Below are 22,321 nucleotides of genomic sequence, written 5' to 3'. Positions count from 1 at the left end.
AATGATCATGTCATGAACAAAAGGAAAGTCAGAAGAAGCTGCTAGATTGGTAGTAAGGAAGATGAATTTATTTTTAAATGAGTTGATTGTAAAGTGATTACAAGACATTCTGAATTAAATTTCCAGTAGGAACCATAAGGCTGAAACCCAACGATAAAATAGATTCTGACTTCTAAATAAAGAACTAATAATCACTCTCAAAATCTTTAAATTGCTAAATATTATATTCATCTCTCAAATTTAAGGCACCAATAAAGTTTTACCATTGTTAAATTTGAAATTTCAAATTGTCGAAAAGGAATAATATCTTTGTGTTGGGTCAAGGATTAACATATATTAACATATAGTGGCTTTTATTACTAAGGTAACCAACAGATATTATTCATAAACCAACAACCACTTTCAATAACAGATGGATGTATTTTTTTGTTAGAACTAAGAATATTCTGGTATAGCTCAGAAATTCCCACAACATTAGATTCAGATCATTGATAAATTTAGAACACAGAAAAAAATGCAGTTAAAAGCAGCTTAGCTAGAAAGCTAATTGCATATAGACAATCTTCTTTGCAAATGGCACAATTAATCTCCTTACATAACAGTAGACCATGATGTTCAATTAGCTGAAGTGCTTTCAGTTAGTTCACTAAATGATAAAAAATAAATAAATAAGCAATGATAGTCCATAATTGGAACCAAGTACTGAAACTGGCTAATCAACTTTGTTAAAAAAAAATGTAAAAGAATGAGGAAACTTCATAGTTACCCCATCCATATTCACGGAACAAATTCATCACGACCTGATTACTGTTTATAAAATTCTAACATAAGGATTTTTTTCAAAACATTTATTCTATTAGTCACAGACTAAACCAATATAGCATTCATTAGTCACAGATGCCACTAGTTATTAACAATTTCCTGAAGACATTTTTACCGTTAATATCTGTTACATTCATTGCTCATGAATTTTAAGTTAAAAGCAATGCAAATATTATAATCAGAGAAACAGCATTTCTACCTATTGAAATACTATATTTAAAATCACTTTGGTTTCAGAAATTTTTAAGTTGCATTATCTAGTCATATTATACCTGCAGATGACTGAAAAAAATCTAAATACTCTAAATTTGTCATCACATAAAATCACACTGGCAAATATTTCTAAATAATTCTATACATATTTTATGAGGGAAAACTTCCTCTAAGTATCAGTTGCTATAATTCCACTTCATAAGATCATTAGTCAATATCATCAAGAAAAATAAATATACTCAGAAATGTTCTTTGAATATTTATTTTTTGAATGCAAAGTTAACGTTTTGCTAATCCTACAATAATTAAAAGAACATAAAATCAATGCCATCAGTTTCTTTTGAGACTGATATGGTCTACATAGTATATATAAAGAAAATTGTATATGTTTCATGTTTATTGTTAATACTCAACAGTAGTTTAACAAGTCTTTGTTATGTATCTACTATATTAAGGGCACTGTGCTGGCCACATAAACTGCTAACTATTGTAATACCTTAATTCACTGGATGTTGTTTCTGATGTCTGGACCTTTCAACATCTGCCTGGAATATCTCTCATCTTTCAAAACCTGTCATGAGCATTAGCTCCTCCGCAGAGCTTTACTCCCCATTTTACAGTCCATTCACACAAAGGCAGACTTGGTCACCTGCTCTTCTCTGCTTAGGTGGCATGGCTCGCACACTGCCATTATGGAAGCTGTCTTGAGATTGTCTATAAACCTTCCATCTTTCCGTCCCAAAAGGTGAGTGTGCACAGGCAGATGCCATATTTTGGTCATCTCTGTATACCCCACAGCAGCTAGCTGAGCACCTGACACACACTAAGAAGCCAAATCTTCACTGCTCAATAGAATTATATGCTTTAATATACAGAGTATTTTAAATTTGAGTGCTTCAGAAAACACAATTTGTTTTATTCAATTGATTGGCAAATATTTGTTGAGAATTTAACTTACAGCAGGGAATTTTTGTCTGTCATCTTATTCCTTGGCTTGTGTAATCTAGCCTGTTATTCCAGCTTCCATTTTGTAGATGAGCACCTAAACCTTGTTCGCAGGTAACCAGACATTGCTAGTAACTTTTTTCTCTAAAGTCTTATAATTTTTTTTAAAAAAGCTCATAATTTACTCACCTGTTTTCCTGCCTTATTAAGTATATTCAGCGTAGTTAATTTTTCAGAACTTGGTCAGTGTTCAGGTTTGTTACCAGGTTATTATCTTCTCCTAAAAATACACAGCCCTGAACCTGAGATGGGGGAAAACTTCTGGGAGTTTCCCTTCAATTACTGTTTTAGGTTATCTACTGTAAACCAGCTATTCCCTTTATACTCGGTGGTTGCTCTTCTCTTATTGAAATAATATTCAGACTACTTGAACTTAATTCAGAAAGATCTTGGAAAATTGCCTAAATGTTTCTTTCTAGTAGACATAGGGGAAAATATAACCTTAGTTGGTTTTATAACCTTAATTTGTTTCCAATAATTTGCCAAAAACAAACAAGTCTTCAACCCTTGACCCCGTCCAGAAGCAGAGGAGACTGTGATTTGAGAATTACCAGAAGAAAGTCCTCCTCGTTCAAAATTGCCCCCAGTGGGAATGTCTGAAATTCCATCATTAAAGATTCCCTCAAAGAAAGATAGCATTTCCCAAACCTGACTCCTATTAAGTGAAAACTTTATTACAGATCCTATTTGAATAATTCATAAGAATAATACTTAAATATGTTCCAACCTGAAACTAGATATAATCTTCATTTGCTTATAATTTTTATAGAACCATAAAGCTAAAACTTGTTTGAAAATTTAACATAAAACTTAAAAATCAATAAGATTAAAACAATGCTGTCTGTAAGATGGCTAATGCTCTGCTGAAAATAAAATTACTAGTCACAACAAGAATATGGAACTGTTTGCTAATGATGATAATCTTTTTGTTTTAGCATAGCTTTATTACCATCTGATTTGTATTTTACGTGTTATATTCCTATGTGCCATCTGTATACCATCTACGGTATCTAAGACACCATTTGTTTTAAAACATACCATTATTTTATGCATGCTTCTCTCAGCCTATCCCAACTTCAGCCTGCAATGGCTACTAATAAAAAACAATGAGGCTACAACATTTGCATTCTTCCAGGGAGATTTTTTCCACTTCTCTTACACACTGCATCTACCACAGAGAATCTCTTCACTGTTAATCTAGAACTAAGAGATGGTCTATACCATCTTCTTCCTGTTATTTATTCAACAAACATTCATGGAGTACCTAGAATATGTCAAGCACTGAGCTGGGCACAGGAATCTGAAGGTGGCCAAAGCATAGTCTCTGCCTGCAGGAGCTTATGCTCTAATAGAGAAAATAGACCTGGACATGGCTGTAAAATGAGAAGTGACAAAGTAGAGATCTCTGTATGGCACAGATACAATTGCAACAAAAAGACAGGATTATAGGTATAGCTGTCCATGGTAGAAGAGAGGAACGGTAGGAGAAGGAAACACCAAGCTTAAGCTAGATAGACAAGAAGTGGAACAGCGTTGCAGGCAGGGGAACAGTACACATGAGCAAAGACATGGGTACAGGCAAGAAAAAGCAGAGAAGTTCAAGCTATTTTAAATTACTGATTATGGCAAGAGCCAAAAGAGAGGTCGGGGTTACAGATTAAACTAGAGTTAGGCAAAGGTCAATGATATAAGGCCGGGAATGTCCTGGTAAGGAGTTTATACATTTATGCTGTAGAGAAGGAGGAGTGGCTGAGGGGCTTCAGTTAGACAAACAGTCCGTTATATTGAAGAAAAATTGTTTTTATTCCCATTGTCATACACTACCTCAGCAATATGGCAACTTGGTACAAAAAAATTAAATTGTTATTGGTGAAATTCTAGTAAGCCATTTCACCCAGAATAAGCAACCCTCCTTCTTCCCTTATCTTCTTGCTGATTAGAAGAGCTCCTCTGTGGAAGACCACAAATCACAGAATTTAAAACCAGAAGAAAACAAACATTGTTTTTTCCCAACCTAGTTATTTCCAGGTTAAGGCAAGAGATTTACTTTAGTCCACAGAGCTACTAAAGTGAAAAAGAATGATCCAAAATTCATGTCCTTCATTCCAGAATTCTTTCTAGTTGTCCATTTTCCAAACTTTGAGACCTCTGATCTAGACAAAATAAAAGTAGTCATTTATAATTTTAATGCCCATGTTAATGCCACTCTATTGTCAAAAATCAGGTTGTTGGAGGTATTTTAAATCATTTTAAAGGTGCTTGAATTATTTAATAATATCTCCATCCCATTTATTCTGACCTGTGACAAATCTAAAGGGTTAAATTGTCAAAACAGACTAGCCAGAATCACAGATCTTACATAGCACCAAACTTTATTAATGATTCGTTGGCTACAAGCCGCCATCAGGAATAAACAAAACATTCATTTTGGGAAAAACCCCAAACTGTCAGACACAGCATCCAAACAAAACAGACCATTTTTCTCCTGCAGTTGGCATATTTTGGTTTTGCATTTACAAGTAATTTTTGAGCATTGTCTGCAAAAACATTTCTCACAAAAAGAAGGCAGTTTGGTTTGGGGACATCTTCGTTCCACATTCTCTTACAGAGCTTACATAGCACCTCTCTCTCCATTCTCCAGCCAGCCTGCTAAATTCCAGGCTTATTTACAATAAGCAATCTAGACAGACCAGAAATGTCCTGCTAAAAAAGTTTCATAAATAGGGACTCCCTGGTATCTTTCCACTGATAAATACTATGAGATTTATACGAAAGTCTGGTGAGGTCATTTTTTCCTCTGCAGGTCTTAGGAAGGGAAAAAATTAGTCACAGGCTGGCTGTTAACACCTTCCCTTCCTTTGGCTTAGCTTCTATGCTTATACCCAAAGTTCAAAATGTAATCAATTACAGGATTACAGGATTATCTGAAAAGTTCCTAAAATGGCCCTATACATATTTGATAATCTATTCAGAATTATTTCTGAAGCAATAATGGAACCAAAACACCCCCCACCATTTTTTAACAAAAATAAATAGCTTTGTGTTTCCAGGCCATATAAGTCAAATCATGTATTCAATTACGTTATTTATTAGGTAAGTTTATTTTTGATAAAATGGTTGAATCTAAAATTAAAACTTCTAATTTATTTTAAAAATCCATAAGGGAACTGCGATTTTGGTAATATGAAATCTAAATTAAAATGCTTTCTTCATAAATACTTAAAGGCTTTTTTCTGTATTAACTGTAATAAACGTATCTTAAAATACATAACTAGTATCTCAAGGAAATTTCCAGATTGCAAAAATACAGAGGGCAAGAAGTATTTGATGGGTTGACTTAGGCTGCCCTGGGTGTGGGTGTGTACCTTGTTGCATAAAGGCTTTGGTTTTAATTTGAAACTGCAGAAGATAAGTGCTCTCATTAAAAACAAAAACAAAAACAGAACCCCTTTAAAAAAAATCATGCGTCTTTGGTGCACTAAAAAATCTCATCCAACAGCATAGAACATCAACTTTGTCTGGGCTCCGGGCAAAGGGGAAAAAAAAGTTCTCTTTAACAAATCTTAGTCTTGTATCTTTGCCTCACACAGGTTTGGGGTCAAAAGTGACACACACACACACAGAGGCAGAGTAGAATAAGCAGATTTTTTTTTGTTTAGCCATGTGGAAATCAACCACCAGAAGAACAGAAAAAGAAAGCTTAAAAATAGTGGCCTAACATTGCAGGACCAGAGAAGGGGATTTTGAGGAGTGAATGAGTTGCTTCATATCATAAGCCCTCATGGATTTTTTTTAATCATTTCCATATTACTTTGCATAAAGTTAGACAGATAAAGATAAGTAGGTGGGTAATTAGAAGGAAAAAAAAAGAAAGAAAACAATGTGTTGTGTGATCACATTTAAACCATTCAAATCAACTATGAAGCTGTGTTTAATCCTCTACTTCTAAATTATTCACAAGATCATTTTGACTCCCTAAAGTTCATAAACAGAGTGCAAATCACCCAAGCAGAAGTATTTTGCTGCTTTTAAGCCAAAGCCCTGACTAGCTAAGGAGTTGCCTGTAGGAATTAACCAGAACAAAATCCTGATTAAACAGCTAATTGGCTTGTCTACTAAAGAAAAGGAAAACAAAGTACATTTCTCTACCTTAAGGCACAGTCATAAATACAGAGGGTTTTCAGAACCACCTCAGAGAAGATGTTTAAATCGCTGACAAAAGTCAACAAGGTGAAGCCTATAGGAGAGAACAATGAGAATGAACAAAGTTCTCGTCGGAATGAAGAAGGCTCTCACCCAAGTAATCAGTCTCAGCAAACCACAGCACAGGTATGTCCTCTACATTCCTATGCAAGCCTTGATTTTCATCATTTCTTATCTGGTAATAGCATTTAATCACTGCTACGATATATGATTGTTTAGTAGTTTTACCTGGCACCATCTGGTACATGTACTGTGTCGGGCTTATCTTCATTAATTTATATATTCTGTATGTATTTGTTCATAAAAAGAATAATAAATGTTTAGGAGACTATACTAGGATTTGGAAAAGCCAAGTAAGACTTCTCATTGCTGATTTTCACTTCTACCATCATCCAAAATGAAACCATTTCTCAAATATTAAATTGGTTACTTGATTGAGTTTCAACAAAGAACATCAAGTATCCTGGTCTTCATAAACCACATGTTAACAATAAATCTCTAGAGCAATAGGAAACCTATTGGCTCTCAATTGAGAGCGATTTTACCACTCAAGGGACATTTGGCAAATCTGGGGACACTTTCAGTTGTCATAGCTCCGGGGTGGGGATGTTACTGGCATCCAGTGGGTAAAGTCTGCAGATGCTGCTCAACATCCTATCATGTACAGGACAGCCCTCCACAACGTAGAATTATACACTACAAAATTTTAATACTGCCAAGGTGGAGGAACTTTAAACAAGCCTTTTCACAAGTTCTAAATATATTTTTCTGCAAAATGTATATGATAATTTCTGCTTTGTTATGAGAACTAGAGACAGTAATATATAAAGCACATGGTAGGTACTTTACAAGTGGCTATTATTATTATTAATAAGAATTTGTGTTTCTGTGACAGGTTTAAGTCCTAAGTGATCATTACAAGAGCAATATTTACTTAGAACTATCCACAGAATAATTTTCGTGAATTACTCACTAGAATTATCTAAAAGAGCTACAGAAGATTTTTAGAGCAGTAGTTATTTTGCCATCTGAAACAGCTGGATGAGAGATGACAAGTACAAGCAGGAGTGCTCCTCAGGGACTAGGGGAGCATAGTCCAATGGTTCGGGTTTAAATGAGCCTAGAGGATAGACAACACTGAGACTATTTAACATGGGCCGTGGAAAATCTGCCTTCCTTTTCTGATTAATGTTGACTGCTTTGCAGTAGAGAGGAGATGAGGAGGACTGTGTTAGTATTGCTTCGAGAGAGTGCCCTTGACTTCTTTCTAATTCTTATGTCAAAATAAATAATCCCACACTAAGTTATCTATATGTTTAAGAACTCATACAATGTCACAAATATTGAGCTGGTACTTTCCTTCAGCTAGTCTTGCTGTGTTTTGCTCTGGGAAAGTCACTACATCCATCTTTAACCCTTGCCTACTGTGATTATTTTCCAAGGGAGCACATAAAAACCGTTAATAGCTAATATATTATTCTCTTGGAGAACATTGTAACTAACAGCAATTACTATTTGCCAAGCAAGGTGCTAAGCCCTTTTCTAGGGCTACTGTATTTAATCCTCACAACAGTCACAGGTCCTATTACAATTTGCTCCTTACACATAGCTAGCAAATGGCAGAGCCTGGATTGGAACCAAGTCCTATCTGAATTCAGCACCTGAGAGCTAAATCACTAGGCTATACTGCTCAAAACAGGAGGGATATTAGTTGAGTCAACCCTTTAAGATACTTTGCCTGCAGGATAAACGGAAATTAGAGAGAAGGCGAAAAAAGAAGAGAAACTTCTTAAAGAGTTATCTTTCCTTTCAAAACAGGAATATTGGAGAAGTACTTAGATTAGGCACAGGTAGAGCACCCCTTAGGTATATCCCATGCCATTCCAACAGCCATAATTTGTGGATATTAATCGCGAAGTCTACTGGCATCACATTAGATTTTTTTTTTTTGTTTTTTTTGAGACAGAGTCTCATTCTGTCGCCCAGGCTGGAGTGCAGTGGTGCAATCTTGACTCGCTGCAACCTCTGTGTCCTGGGTTCAAACGATTCTCCTGCCTCAGCCTCCCGAGTAGCTGGGATTACAGGCACATGCCACCACACCCAGCTCATTTTTTTGTATTTTTAGTAGAGACGGGGTTTCACCATGTTGGCCAGGCTGGTCTCAAACTCTCGGCCTCAGGTGTTCCGCCCACCTTGTCCTTGCAAAGTGTTGGGATTACACGCATGAGCCACTGTGCTCAGCCACATTATATCTTAAAAGTCATATTTGGGCAATTATTTGCATCTGTTCTTTCCAAGAACATGTGGGTATGGGAAAAAATAGTTTATCTCCAATTTCAAATATGCTAAATGTTAAAAATGACAGAAAGTTAAAATCCTGTTTTCTTTCACGGAATTCGACCTTTCAAAATGGCATTTAAACAATAAGCCTCTGAACTATGAATAAATGATTAGAGTCTTATAAGCAAATATCTAGGAATAAATATATCAATGTATGTTGTGTTTTTTAAAGAGTCATTTAAAGAGCTCATTTACACACCAAAATGTCATGGGTAATTCTCACCTATCAATAAACAATAATTTAAGAACTGCAAATCAGTCTAATCCAAACTCTCTCTTACCCCAGAAGAAGACACTCTTCACATAAATCTACATTTGTATACACATAAAGACTATGATATAAATATTTATGAATAACATCATAACGATGCAAAAGGACTTGATTGAAGTCAGAAGGCTTTTTCACTGTTTATAAATAGTCCTGGACTTATACCTTTCTAGCTACGTTCATATAAACTAGCCACTCAATCAATTTCATATTCAATAATATAATAATATTAATAATAATAGCTGCCTTGCCTAATGTATATGGTTATTGTGAGGCTTAAGTGAAAATCAGCCAATTAATTTATTTTTTAGTTTAAAATGCTTCTATGAAACACAAGGCTTATAAATAATGTCAAAACTCTATAGCAGGCACACAAGACTCTCAGTGTCCTTCTGGTCCCTGCCTACTCTCAAGCCTCATCTACTCACCCTTTGTCCCATCCAACCACTCCTACTGTAGTCTCTCCCCACCTATGTACAGTCACGCCTTTGGCTTTTGCTAAACCTGCATCATCTGCCTGGAATATTTTCTAAGTCCTCTCCATGTGGAAAACAAAAATCTTATCTTTATAAAGTCAAGAGTCACTTTCTTTGGAATAGTTTCCTTTCTTTCCCTTCTACTCCAGTAGAATTGACCACTTCCTGTTTATGCCCCATCCTAATCCTCTACAGACATTGATTCGTCACCTACATTTTCTTGCACTTAACATTTTTGTGTGTTTGTTTCCCCTTCTAGACTGTGCATAGCTTGGGAGTCAATCTTTATGTTCTAACCTCATATCTTGTTTCACTCTGCCCCTGTAGGAACATCCTGAGGCACACACTGGCCATGTCTAGTGGGACATAACGGCATTTCAAAGGAAAGCTTAGATGATCAGACAAATGATGAGGCAGAAGCACATGAAATCATGGAGAGAAGAAAGGGAGCTTTGTGTGAATGGGACCAAACTGCCTTCTCTCCACTATTTTAAGTTCTACCACTAAAGACCTAGACTAATGCTAGGCCTATGGCAAGTAAAGACCACAATTGAAGGAATGTGAACAAGAGAAACACAGAATCCACACTGAAAAAACCAGAGGGCAGCTGTGGAGGCTGAGGTTGATTATTCAATAGTAGGCCAAGAATGCCCATTTTAAATGCAAGAATCATTTTTAGTACATCATAAACAGTCAATTTTAATGATCTGATTGACAATTAAGTGGAAAATGGTGTTATGTTTTACATTCAACTTCATTTTTATGTAAATTCATCACATACAATCTCTATGTTTTTTCTCAAAGGAAGAAAACAAAGGTGAAGAGAAATCTCTCAAAACCAAGTCAACTCCAGTCACGTCTGAAGAGCCACACACCAACATACAAGGTCAGAATGCAGTCTGAAAAAAAAAAAAAAAAAACTAAAAAGTGAAATACATATGTATCTGAAATGTGCTGTCTGATGAAATATTTGTCCTTGACTAGGTGAATTATCTAGGGTCATACTGAGGTTATTTGAAGATCTGAATATTTCAAAAACTTTATATCCTCATTCAGTAACTCATTTGTCCATGCAATAGATGCATTTTCATCACCTGACATGTGCCAGGCACTGTTCCATGGGCTGGAGGTGCAGTAATGAGCAACATGGGCAGAGTCTGAGGTTACATAGAGCTTGTAGTCTAAAGAAACACATCATAGATAAGTAAGCATATTGTGAACGATGCAATTTCAGACATTGATAAGCAATATGAAGACATTAACATGAATGTGGATTGAACACATTTAAAGGTTTAGCACTCACACCTCTGCTCCCTCCTGCTAAACTCTCTCCATTATAAGGCTCATTTACTCCTAAGGCTACCACACTCGATTCTACAGGGATGATTCTAAATCCGTATCAGGTCAATTTCTTTTTTAAGACTCAATATTTTTCAACTCATCACTAGATGTACACGACGGTATATTCTACTGCATTACAAAGAAAGCATGTCTAAAACTAAATTCCTTATCCTCTCCTACAAATACGCTCCCTCTCCTGATTTACTTCTACCCCTGGTACTATCATTCTTTCAGCCTCCCAAGCTCAAAACCTTACTCAGGTTTTATTCCTTTAACCAGGATGTCCTGTAAAGTAAATTAGTCACCAAATCTCCTTTCATAAGGACCCTGAAACCCACTTCCCTTTTTTTTTTTTTTTTGAGACGGAGTCTCGCTCTGTCGCCCAGGCTGGAGTGCAGTGACGTAATCTCGGCTCACTGCAAGCTCCACCTCCCGGGTTCAGGCCATTCTCCTGCCTCTCAGGCTCCCAGGTAGCTGGGACTACAGGTGCACACCACCAAGCCTGGCTAATTTTTTGTATTTTTAGTAGAGACGGGGTTTCACTGTGTTAGCCAGGATGGTCTCGATCTCCTGACCTCGTGATCCTCCCGCCTTGGCCTCCCAAAGTGCTGGGATTACAGGCGTGAGCCACCGCGCCCGGCCCACTTCCTTTCTTTCCGATCTCAGCAATACCATCCTGGCTCGGGCCCTTATTAGTAGCTTATGTCTGCACTACCCCCAGGCCAAGTGGTTGCTTTTGTTTAGAACTCTATGTCACCCATCTCTCCCCTTGTTACCCAGCCCAAACACTGTTAGCAGATTATTTTCCATTAACCACCACTTTGATCTCAACCTTTGCTCAAGAAGCTTAAGTGCTTGCATATTGCCTGCAGGACAAAATCTAATTTCCTCCACCTGACTTTGTAGAACTTAATGTGATCTATTCCCAGACCCCCTTTCTAGACCTTCTCTCCTACTTCTCCCCAGTAGGAACACTACCCCCTAACCAAATAAATACAAAAATGAAAGGGAAATCACTAGAACAGAATATGCTTTGTTAAATAATAAAAATAAAATTATTGCCATAAAACTAGCACAAATGTTTTGCTTTTCATCTGTTAGACAAAGTCCGTGTATGATAATTGTTAATGACTTCCTATTTGCACTAAAACAAATATTTGAACTGAGGCACAATTGAGCTTTTACTAGCCCAAATGTCTCATCTTCAAGGAACAAAAATAAGAAATGCACAAAAATTACAAGAAGATTATAAATTTAAAAACAAATCACAAGAAATGTTTCAAATACACAAATTGCTGTCAAGGAATATCCCTGCAGTCGAAGTACTGAGGCCACTATCCCAAGCAAACTAACTCAGGAACAGAAAACCAAATACCGCATGTTCTCACTTGTGGGAGCTAAACATTAAGTACACATATAAAGATGGGAACAACAGACACCAGGATCTACTTGAGGGTGGAGGATGGGAGAAGGGTGAGGCTAGAAAAACTACCTATAGGTATGCTTATTCCCTTGATGATGAAATAATCTGTATACCAAACCCCCGTGACACAAAATTTACCCATATAATAAACCTGCACATGTACTCCTGAACCTAAAAGGTTTTTTACGTTTTTAATTTTTAAATAATTCCAAATTCCAGTACCATCTTACTTTAATTTGGAAATGCTACATTAAACCTGTTGTGTAATAAAGAAAAATTTAAAAAAAGGACCGCTCTGAACAAATGGCCCCACTCTCATACTTACTTGTTTCTATTTAGGAGAAAAGGAAAGAACCTATATGAAGAAAATAATTGAATTTTACAGACATATGTAGAATAAACTTAAATAACTGGAGGGAAATATGTGTCCACTTGGGAGGATAATATTATAAAGATGTTGATTTTTTTCCTGAATTAATTTATATTTATACTTTTTACAATCTACTCTCTACCTACTTACAAGAATAAAATTTGTTTAAAAAGGGGAAGAAAATTCACTTTAGTTTTCTTGACTTTATTTACTTATTTTGAAAAACACCTCTGTTTTTTCACTATGCAGATTAGAATGTAGAGGATACTTGTTCTTACACAGACCAGGTGTTTTTGCCACTATCTTTCATCTGTACTTTTATCTCTGCCACAAAGATGGAAAACAGTATCTTCCAAATAGAAAATCAGCATTGACTTATCCGAGGAGAAAGGGGGAAAAAAAAGCAAGTGTTCTACAATATATTTTTCAACGTGAATGCAATATAATACTTCCTAACTCATGACTAAAGCTAGACTGTTCAACCGCTAGATTATGTGATTTTAAATATTTAGGATAACGTGTCACTGAAAGAGGAAAACACTTAATAATCCTAAAACTCTATCTGATCCAAACTCACATATATAAAACTTCCATAAATAGTAAGAATCATAAACCAAGAGGACATTGTAAAAAATGTGGTCTTGCCTTTTTTTTTTATCAGTAATTGAAGACCATTATTCCATCTTCAAATTTGTTTAAAAGGAGAAGACCCTTTTGTAGACTATACAACAATCTTGAATGCATACACCAAAATGTGATTAACAAATGGAAGTACCGAGGAAGAGAGAAACATTCTGATAATTCAAACTACAATTCTTTTTTTCTGAGTTACTTTGTAATAGTAATGATTTAAATCTACAGTTCTTTGCACAGAAAAATACAACCTTAATTAGCATAAAACCAAGGATTACACCTTTGAAAAGACAAGTTTATTCTTATCTTTGTCATACTTTTTTCAAAGTGTATTTGTAAGCTTAAATTTTTCATAGCTGGTAATAAAAACTCTTTTGTGGAAGTTTCATTTAACAGAGGAGCTATTTGAGTAGAAGGAAAAAGTAGTTTCATTTAAATCTGCAGACTTGGCATGTCTCCAAAGACTTTAATAGGAATAACAGTTATATTTAAGATATTTTGTCTTGAAAAAGCAAAATTATTAGTGTTTAAAGATAGCCTCTGATATGTGCTTGGTATTTTTGTGTTCACTTCAAAACATGCAGGTGCAATGTCATAAAATCTGCAGATGTTGATTTCTGATTATAGAACTCTTATCTTCTGCAGAACATGGTTTCATTTATATCTGCCATGGAAATGAAGAATGCAACATATTTTGGATTCAAATAAAGATAACTTGCTAAGGTCCTCTTTTGATTATAATCATCTTCCTTAGGCATCTATTTCATTTATATTATGTTAAATGCTTCTTTAAATAAATGTCTTGGTACCAGTAGAGGATATGTAAGTAATTTACCTAGTGGTTTACGATACTTTTAAGTGACCCTATTTGTGTAGAAATGGGTCAAAGTTGAATTCCCATTGCTAGTATGGTGTGGTAAGCCAATTAATGGCTATCCAAAGCTGTCCACACCATAATCTCTAAAATCTATTAATTTGTTAGCTTACATTGAAGAAAATTGCTAATGTTACTAAGGATCTTGCAATAGGAAGATTATCCCAGATTATTCAGGTAACCCCAATGTAATCAAGGGGTCCTTATAAGAGTTGAAGCAGGAGAGTCAAAGGCAAGAGCTGGGACAATGAAAGCAGAGTTGGATTGATGCTCTCTGGAGGTGGAGGAAGGGACCAGGACCCAAGGAGTGCTGTGACCTCTAGAAGCTGGAAAAGAAAGAAAGGATTCTCTCCTGGAGCTTCCAGGAGGAACACAGCCCGTCAGACACGTTTTAGACTTCTGACTTTCAGAACTGTAAGACAACTGACTGTGTTGCTTTAAGCCATTAAGTTTATGGTGATAGATTACAGCAGCAATGGAAAACTATAATACATACAGCTTTAAGAGAATTCCAACTTGAAATACAAAATACAACCATTTTTCTCCTGGCTAACACGGTGAAACCCCGTCTCTACTAAAAATACAAAAAATTAGCCAGGCATGGTGGTGGATGCCTGTAGTCCCAGCTACTCGGGAGGCTGAGGCAGGAGAATGGCGTGAACCCTGGAAGCGGAGCTTGCAGGGAGCCGAGATTGCGCCACTGCACTCCAGCCTGGGCAACACAGCAAGACTCTGTCTCAAAAAAAAAAAAAAAAGGCAACCATTTTAAAAATGAAATTGAGTTTTCCTACAATCACGTTGAATTCATAGTAAAGGCAGTATACCATACAAAAAAAAAAAAAAAAAAAAAAAAAAAACCACCGGCATTTGAGAATTTGACATGCCCGAATTCAAATCACAACTCTGCTACTTTCTAACTCTTTAGTTGAGGCATTTAACATCTTTGAGTGTCATTTTGCTCATGTATAAAATAAGGACAACACTGTTATCAGTGTTGGGTTGTGAGTGAGAATTAAATTAGTTAATATATGTAAAGCATTTAGCATTGAGGTTGGTAAATCCCAACCCTGATACAAGCCAGATAGCATAAATGAGGAGCATTCATGCCCTGTCTGAAGAGGTCAGAGGCTACTCAGCTCTGCTAGTCACTGTCACATGGGGATGAAGGTCAAGTTCTGCCAGGTGTTACACCTTGTCAAGACAAACTACAAACACAAATGTTAATTTGAAAGATCTCAATTTTTAAATGTTGACTTTTTTAATGTTTAAATATTCCCTTTCTTAAATCACTGGGAACACATAACTGAATTCTTACCAAATTTAGTCCACAAGACCATTCTGTGACCTCTAACCAACCACGTGGTAGACATGTAATGTTGTCTGCATTTGTAAACAGTGAAATCCCTAGACAAAATTCTGAATCTGGCAATGCGTTTAGTGATCCTGTTACTTTTCCATTCCTCTTTACTCATAATCTCCATCCCAGTCTTTGTTTTGTAAACAGACTACAAGTAGGGTGGCCTCCCTGGAACTGCTTGCCAAATAGCTTTCCACAGCCAAGACCCCTAGGTTCCAAGTCTAGCACAATTCCAGATCTACAGAGGTGCCCCCAGCCTTGCCCAGGTCCCTATCATCTCTCCAAACTGACATAGCCTGCATTTCAGCCAACTCTCACTTTGGGCGTAATCTAAAGCTAAAAACTGCTCTGGAGCTAAAACTACTCTAAAAATAATAATAAAGCTGGCCAGGCACGGTGGTTCATGCCTGTAATCCCAGTGCTTTGGGAGCCCAAGACAGGAGGATTTCCTGAGACCAGCCTGGGCAACATAGCGAGACCTGACCTCTATCCCCCCAAATTTTTTTAATTAGCTGAGCATAGTAGCACCCGCCTGTAGTTCCAGCTACTCAGGAGAATGAGGTGGGAAGATTACTTGAGCCCAGGAGTTTGTGGTTACAGTGAGCTATGGTCATGCCACTGCACTCCAGCCTGCATGACTGAAAGAAACCCTGTCTCTTAAACCATAAATAAATTAAAATATAAAATAAAGTCCAGTTTTTCAGAAAAGGTAGTGGATGTTTAAATAGGAAACCACTCTTCAGTCCTTGGCAGTAACAATTAGCATATACAATTTAATGTGTCCTATGTGGAAAAGAAAAATAACTAGGCAATCTACTGAAATTTAGTTTACAAAAAGCAGTAAAGACTTTACCGTGTACGACCAACCAGTTTGATTGACATGCATAGGAAGTACTACTATGGCTAATTTTAGTTCTGTAGTCCACTCCCTGTAACTTTCAGTCCTATTCACCAGCCAAAGGATAAGGTGGGAAGAGAGACCCTCCTACAAAATGTATATAACTTTTTATCAAAACTACTCAAGCAGATTTCTCAAAGAACTTAAAACAGAACTACCATTCTGCACCAGCAATCCCATTACTGGGTATATATCCAAAAGAAAATAAATTGTTCTACCCAAAAGACACATGCATTCTTGTATGTTCATCACTGTGATATTCACAATAGCAAAGACATGAAATCAACCTGAGTGCCCATCAACAGTGGATTGGATAAAGAAAAGGTGGCACATATATGCCATGGAATACCACACACCCATAAAAAAGAATGAAATCATGTCCTTTGCAGCAACATGGATGAAGATGGAGGCCATTATCTTAAACAAATTGACCCAAAAATAGAAAGCCAAATACCACATGTTCTCACTTATAAGTGTAAGCTAAACACTGGGTACTCATGGACATAAAGATGGGAACAATAGATTCTGCAGGCTACTAGAGGGAGGAAGGTGGGGGGAAGAGTTGAAAAACTAACTATTTCACCTTAGAGGAGATATAAAAAATAAAATAATAACAAAAAAAAAGAAAAGTTAAATGTTGGGTACTCTGCTCACTGTGTGACAGGATCATTCACATCCCAAACCTCAGCATCATGCAGTATACCCATGTAACAAACACACACATGCATCCCCTGAATCTAAAATAAAAACTGAAATTTTAAAAAAGACTCAAGCATATTTATTTCCTTCATCCAAATAGAAATAGTCTTATGTAGCCAACAATCAGAAGTATTCTTTTAAAATGATACCTGATAGGATGATAAACAAAAGAATTGAGAAATGAATAAAGTTGGTATGACATTTCTGAAAATTTAGTCTAGAAAAAAGATAAATATTACATGCTTTCTAGTTTGAGATGATGAAGAAAATTCCTAATTGTGCTGGTTTGGCAAGAGACAGAGACATAATCAGGACACCTTCAGTGGCAGGGGCTCGTTGTAAGAAAACTTATGGATAACTGGAGCTGAAAAGCCATTCAGGGGAGGCTTTCAGACTGAGACAGCCTAGGAGCTAATTACTTTTTCTCCTTTTCCCTCAGTGAATATGGCTTCATTTCTCATGAGCGCTGTGTTTTCTCTGCATATCTACTCTGGACTGCTCTCATTTCCATTTACTCATTTTTCAGTCCAAATTCCAAAGGGAGTAGTCTGACTGACTTAGATAACAACCGTTTTCCCCATTGAGCAGAGCCCTTCAGACCACCATTGAGGTTGCCAGCCAGCTGTGGACAGGCCACCCTCTTGAGATTAGGTGCCCAGCATGTGTGTGATGGGTAACCATTCCTGCATGTAATACAGCAGAAAGCTCCCTCGCTTAAAAGAGCGAAGTTTGGCATGGAAAGCATACCCTGTTTTAAATATTGAATAGAGAACAGATTCTGACCGATAAAATTACTGTCATTACGTGTTTCATAAGCTAAAAATTTAAGAGACCCTAACCAATGTGGATAGGATGGATTCTTTTCCTTTAAAAGGCCTTTTATGTTGTAGTTTGCATGATTTAAATATATTTACATAATTCAATTAAACTCTGTGCTTTTAGGCTTCTTTCTGCCAAAGAATATAGCTGACTTATGGAAAATTGCATTACGATTTTCTGGTTCCTGGGCTCTGTTAAGTAAATGGAAGTTTTTGTATCATGCCCCACATACGTCAGTGCTATGAAGACCTGAAAGAGTTAATATACATTTTCTTTTTTTAAGCAATTTATTCCAGTCTGGCTCATGGAACACTTTGTGTTTATATTGCATTTTTCTCAAATGGAGTCTTTATCTAATCCTCACAGAAATCCCCAGGACAAAAGTATTTTTCATTTTATGGATGAGGAAACTGTTACAGAAAAGAGACTTATCCAGAGTCACCTAGAGAATTAGTTATGTAGGGATTACAGGTCTCTGTTCAGTACCCAGCACTGGTAACTCATCACACTCCTTAATACCTATATATAAAATGTGTTTTCTAGATGAATTAATCTCAGTTTTAAAAAAGTCCCTGAAACCTAGCATGACATTGAGAGAGGACTGGATTCCTCCATCCTGACACAGTAACAAAACTAACTTAGATGGATCCACGTTCTTTTTCTTTTGGCGATTTGCACATTTCTTTACTTGTGATGATGTATCCTAAAGTCAAAAATCTTCCTAAATACAAAGATCCCTTCAGGACATTATAGGACTTTAAGGCTGTCTAGAGGACACCTTAGTTTTGACCCCATGCAAAGATCCTGTCCTCCCTCAGCACAGGCTCCCTTAGCACAGGCTTCTTAGATTGGCTGGAGGCTCCTGAGTACCACCAGCCAACAGAGCCTTCACTACCTCACAAAGCAGTGCATTTTGTGGTTAGACAAGTTGCTAGAATGTTTGAGGGTTTTGCGTGTTTGTTTTGTTAATTCATTGGTAAGTCTTTCTTCTGCCTTCTAGACTACATGAAATAAATCTATTTTCTTTTCTATGTAATAGCATTTCTATGAATTTGAAATAACTATTAGGTCACTAGTTAATCTTAAATACTTTACTAAAAGAGCCTAAATTCCTCACACCATTTCTCATATGAGATGGTTTCCAGAACTCTCATCCCTTCTGAGTCCTTCTCTGGATTTCTTACAGATCACATGTTTTTAATATAAAGTATGTCATTTTTCTGTTCTTCTGAATGCCATTTTAAAACCCTCTTTCAGAATCCATTTTATGTGCACTGCTGTAATGTTGTCAACTTCCTCCATGTTGTTTGACAATCTACAAAGATACAATAAAATTTCAAGTGTGATTAAAGTATTATAGTTAAAATTATTCTAAGTACACTAGATAATCCAGCAACTCTGAAATTAGCCACAAGCTGAGTCAAAAATACAACCTCAGGTGCCAGAAAATAATCATTAATCATATACTTCTTAAAACTGTTAGTCCTTAACTCCAAATGTTCATTTAGATGGAAAATAATAGTATTGTTTATGCATCTAATTGAAGTACCCAGACTTAGTCTTTATTAATGCATCTAACATCCAGTTACTCAGGTACTGGTGGCTCCTAATAAAAGGAGATTTATTTTTGAGACAGAACCCACATGTCTTTGATGTCCTAAGACCTAGAAATTTGACCAAAGTAGTACCATCCCCCACACCAAAGATTCTAACCAGTGAAGGCATTGTCAAGTCTTGTGCTTTTCATATCCATCTAAAACAAGCCAACTGAGTGTCTTTTTAATTTACAACCTTATTCCCATATTAGGTTCTTTCTTTGAATCCCTCCTGTCCAGCATTTATGTAATGTCACTGATAAAATGTGGAAGGTTAATGGATTTCCACATCACTTATTTCATCACCTGAAGAGAGAAGCAGATGTTTCACACCTGCTCGTGTCTCCATGTTGTGCTGCTACAAGGGGCCAAGGAGATTGGAAGTATATTACACAGGCTCAGTGTGAGACGCTGCCAGGCTCAGGATGGAATCAGCCTGGTGTGTGGAGAGCAAACTCTACTTATTTTTTGCACATTCAGTAAAGGCAACCACGTCAGAATACTTTGATTCCAGATTTCACTATCTGCCACAGGTACACATTCCAGGGAAGAATTTGACCAAGTGTACTGATGAGCTCTGGCAATTGCTATACAATGTGCAAAGAGCACCATTGGCAGAAAGACTTACACTATTCATTTGGGCAGCTATGAAATCTGGAATCCTGCTGTCCATGTGTGAAGCTGGGAAGAATCACAATGTGCCGTTGACAACATTTCACCCAGATGCCAGAGCAAGATTTGCCTTGTATTTTAGATTTCTCTTTCATGATGAGGATGATGCAAACACTCTGACCATCTGTTTCCACAAACAAATAACATGTTGCATGGATAAAAAGACACCCACACTGAACTATAGTTGACAGGCATTCTTTTGTTTTGAGTCCTCATGGGTTTTTTAAGTTGTTGTTCTGCTTTGAAGCCAAGAATAGGAAATAACTGGTTTCTAATCTTCATCAATAAGCTATTAATGAGGATTTATTTTGTAATTAAATGTTTATCCACAAATCAAATTAGGCTGAAATTAATTTATAAATATCCCAGGCTTGTCAAAATAGAGGCAGGATCAATTTAGAAAGGCTTGGTAATAGCTAGAGAAGATCTGGTAAGTTGCTAAGATCTACCTAGAATTAATTTTATCCAAATGTTATGGTGATAAACAAAAATTCTTATTAGGAATGGACAAAAAGAACTATTGCAGAACAGTTGGTCATTTAATTGGTACTAGCAGAAAAGTTAATACTGAAAATGCAATACATATGCTGTAGCTTGAATGAGAGATGGAGGAGGTATATGATGCAGCTTATATCCATGTGGCTTTATAAGAAATAGCCCACCAGGCACAGTGGCTCACACCAATAATCCCAGCACTTTGACAGGCGCATTGCTTGAGCCCAGGAGTTTGAAACCAGCCTGCACAACATGGCAAAACCCCATCTCGACAAAAAATACAAAAATTAACTGGGTGTGGTGGCTCATGCCTGTAGTTCCAGCGATCCGTGAGGCTGAGGTGGGAGAATCACTTGAGCCCAGGAGGTCAAGGCTGCAATGAGCTGTGATCGTACCACCGCACTCCAGCCTGGGTGACAGAGTGAGACCATGTCTCAAAACAAAAACCCATAGCCAATAAAAGCCTTTAAGAAATGTTTTACAGTACAGATTCTATTTGTTTTACATTCAGGATTTTTTTCTGATTTTTACTCATATTTCATATTCTTTATCAGTCCTAATTTTCTTTTAGGGTAAGTACTCCTAGAAACATATGTGAACACAATGATCCATAACATGTTTCTTGGTCCGGACTCCTTTGAGAAGCCCATGATAACTCCAGATCCCCTCCATGTAATAAAAGGTATATACAACATACGGCTTCAAGGATTTCAAATGAAAAATGCACTAGACATCCATGGCCAGCAATTAAGAATTTTGCTTCTAAATATCATACAGTAATTGTCCAAGTGTTTGTGGATACAAAAAAGGATTAGGCTGCCACTTTCACAGACAGCAATACAAAATGGAAATTTGTCAGAGATCTGATCTATATGATTTTTGTTTTGATTGGGTAAAGAGAAATGGAAAAATATGACTTGACCCAAACACATAAGGAAAACAGATCCTTCTCTCTTTTTTTATCAAAAGCTTGTTAGTACAAAATGACATATTGAAAGTGCAATTTTTTTTACTCTGAAATCTGTTGGATACTGATAAACTCATTAGTGTACCACATGTGCCTGTACAGAAGGGTCCCTATCCTACAACTTTCAATATTTCACCTAAACATAATCTTTATACGCAGGCTTCAAGGATGTGATTATATTGAGACCTTTGTATCCCAAGGAAATTGGAGAATTGTTTTTTCTTTCCATTTAAACATAACAAAAACATAGCTAGTACTGTGTTTTCTCTCTTCTAGCCAAAATACTATAATTCCAAAATAAAAGTAGATAGGAGATGCGTAATGAATAAAAGCGTCTTGGGAAATCCGAGAATTTAGGCTTTCTTAGTCTTAAACTTTTAAAAATTTTAAGGAGTGACTCAATTTTTTGATTTCCTTTATTCCTGAAACTTGTTCCTGAAAAGTTTAGTACCTTGAAAGATTTTTAGATGGATCTTAGAAATGTTCATATTAAAGGACTGGTATGGTGATCATCCCCTGATTTATCACTTTTGTAAATCCAAATTTTCAATACTGGGTTTGCTTATATCTTCAAACTATATGTATTACAAGAAAATAAAATGATGATTTGGGCCTCCATTTTAATATCTTAAGCACAAGACATCCAATTAAAAATGTTAGAAGCTGTGGAAAATGAATAACTATTAAATTGTATTCGTTCTTATTTTTCTTTTCCGCTTCTACATTTTCTTTTAATATTAAGTAATTTGCTTTCATTAAAATCTTCTCTATAATCCAAATATTTACCAGTAAGTTGTTTATTCTCTGGGTAAATTACAATTTAAACTATATTAATTAGAAATTGTATCTGT

At 36.3% G+C, this 22,321-nt stretch overlaps 1 protein-coding gene across 1 annotated transcript in view; it reads left to right on the top strand.

Annotated features, from left to right (window-relative positions):
- Positions 6,234-22,321, top strand: part of CNGB3 (cyclic nucleotide gated channel subunit beta 3) — a 169,456-nt gene continuing 153,368 nt past the window's right edge. The window contains exons 1-2 of the mRNA NM_019098.5: positions 6,234-6,369; positions 10,132-10,213. Of these exons, the coding sequence (NP_061971.3) occupies positions 6,241-6,369; positions 10,132-10,213 (211 nt within the window). The 5' untranslated portion in view covers positions 6,234-6,240. The remainder of the gene's footprint in view (positions 6,370-10,131; positions 10,214-22,321) is intronic.

Source organism: Homo sapiens, chromosome 8, assembly GCF_000001405.40.
Source record: "Homo sapiens chromosome 8, GRCh38.p14 Primary Assembly".
NCBI classification, from domain to species: domain Eukaryota; kingdom Metazoa; phylum Chordata; class Mammalia; order Primates; family Hominidae; genus Homo; species Homo sapiens.
The sequence above is the reverse complement of the archived record's forward strand: the minus strand, read 5'-3'. Positions and strand labels throughout refer to the sequence as shown.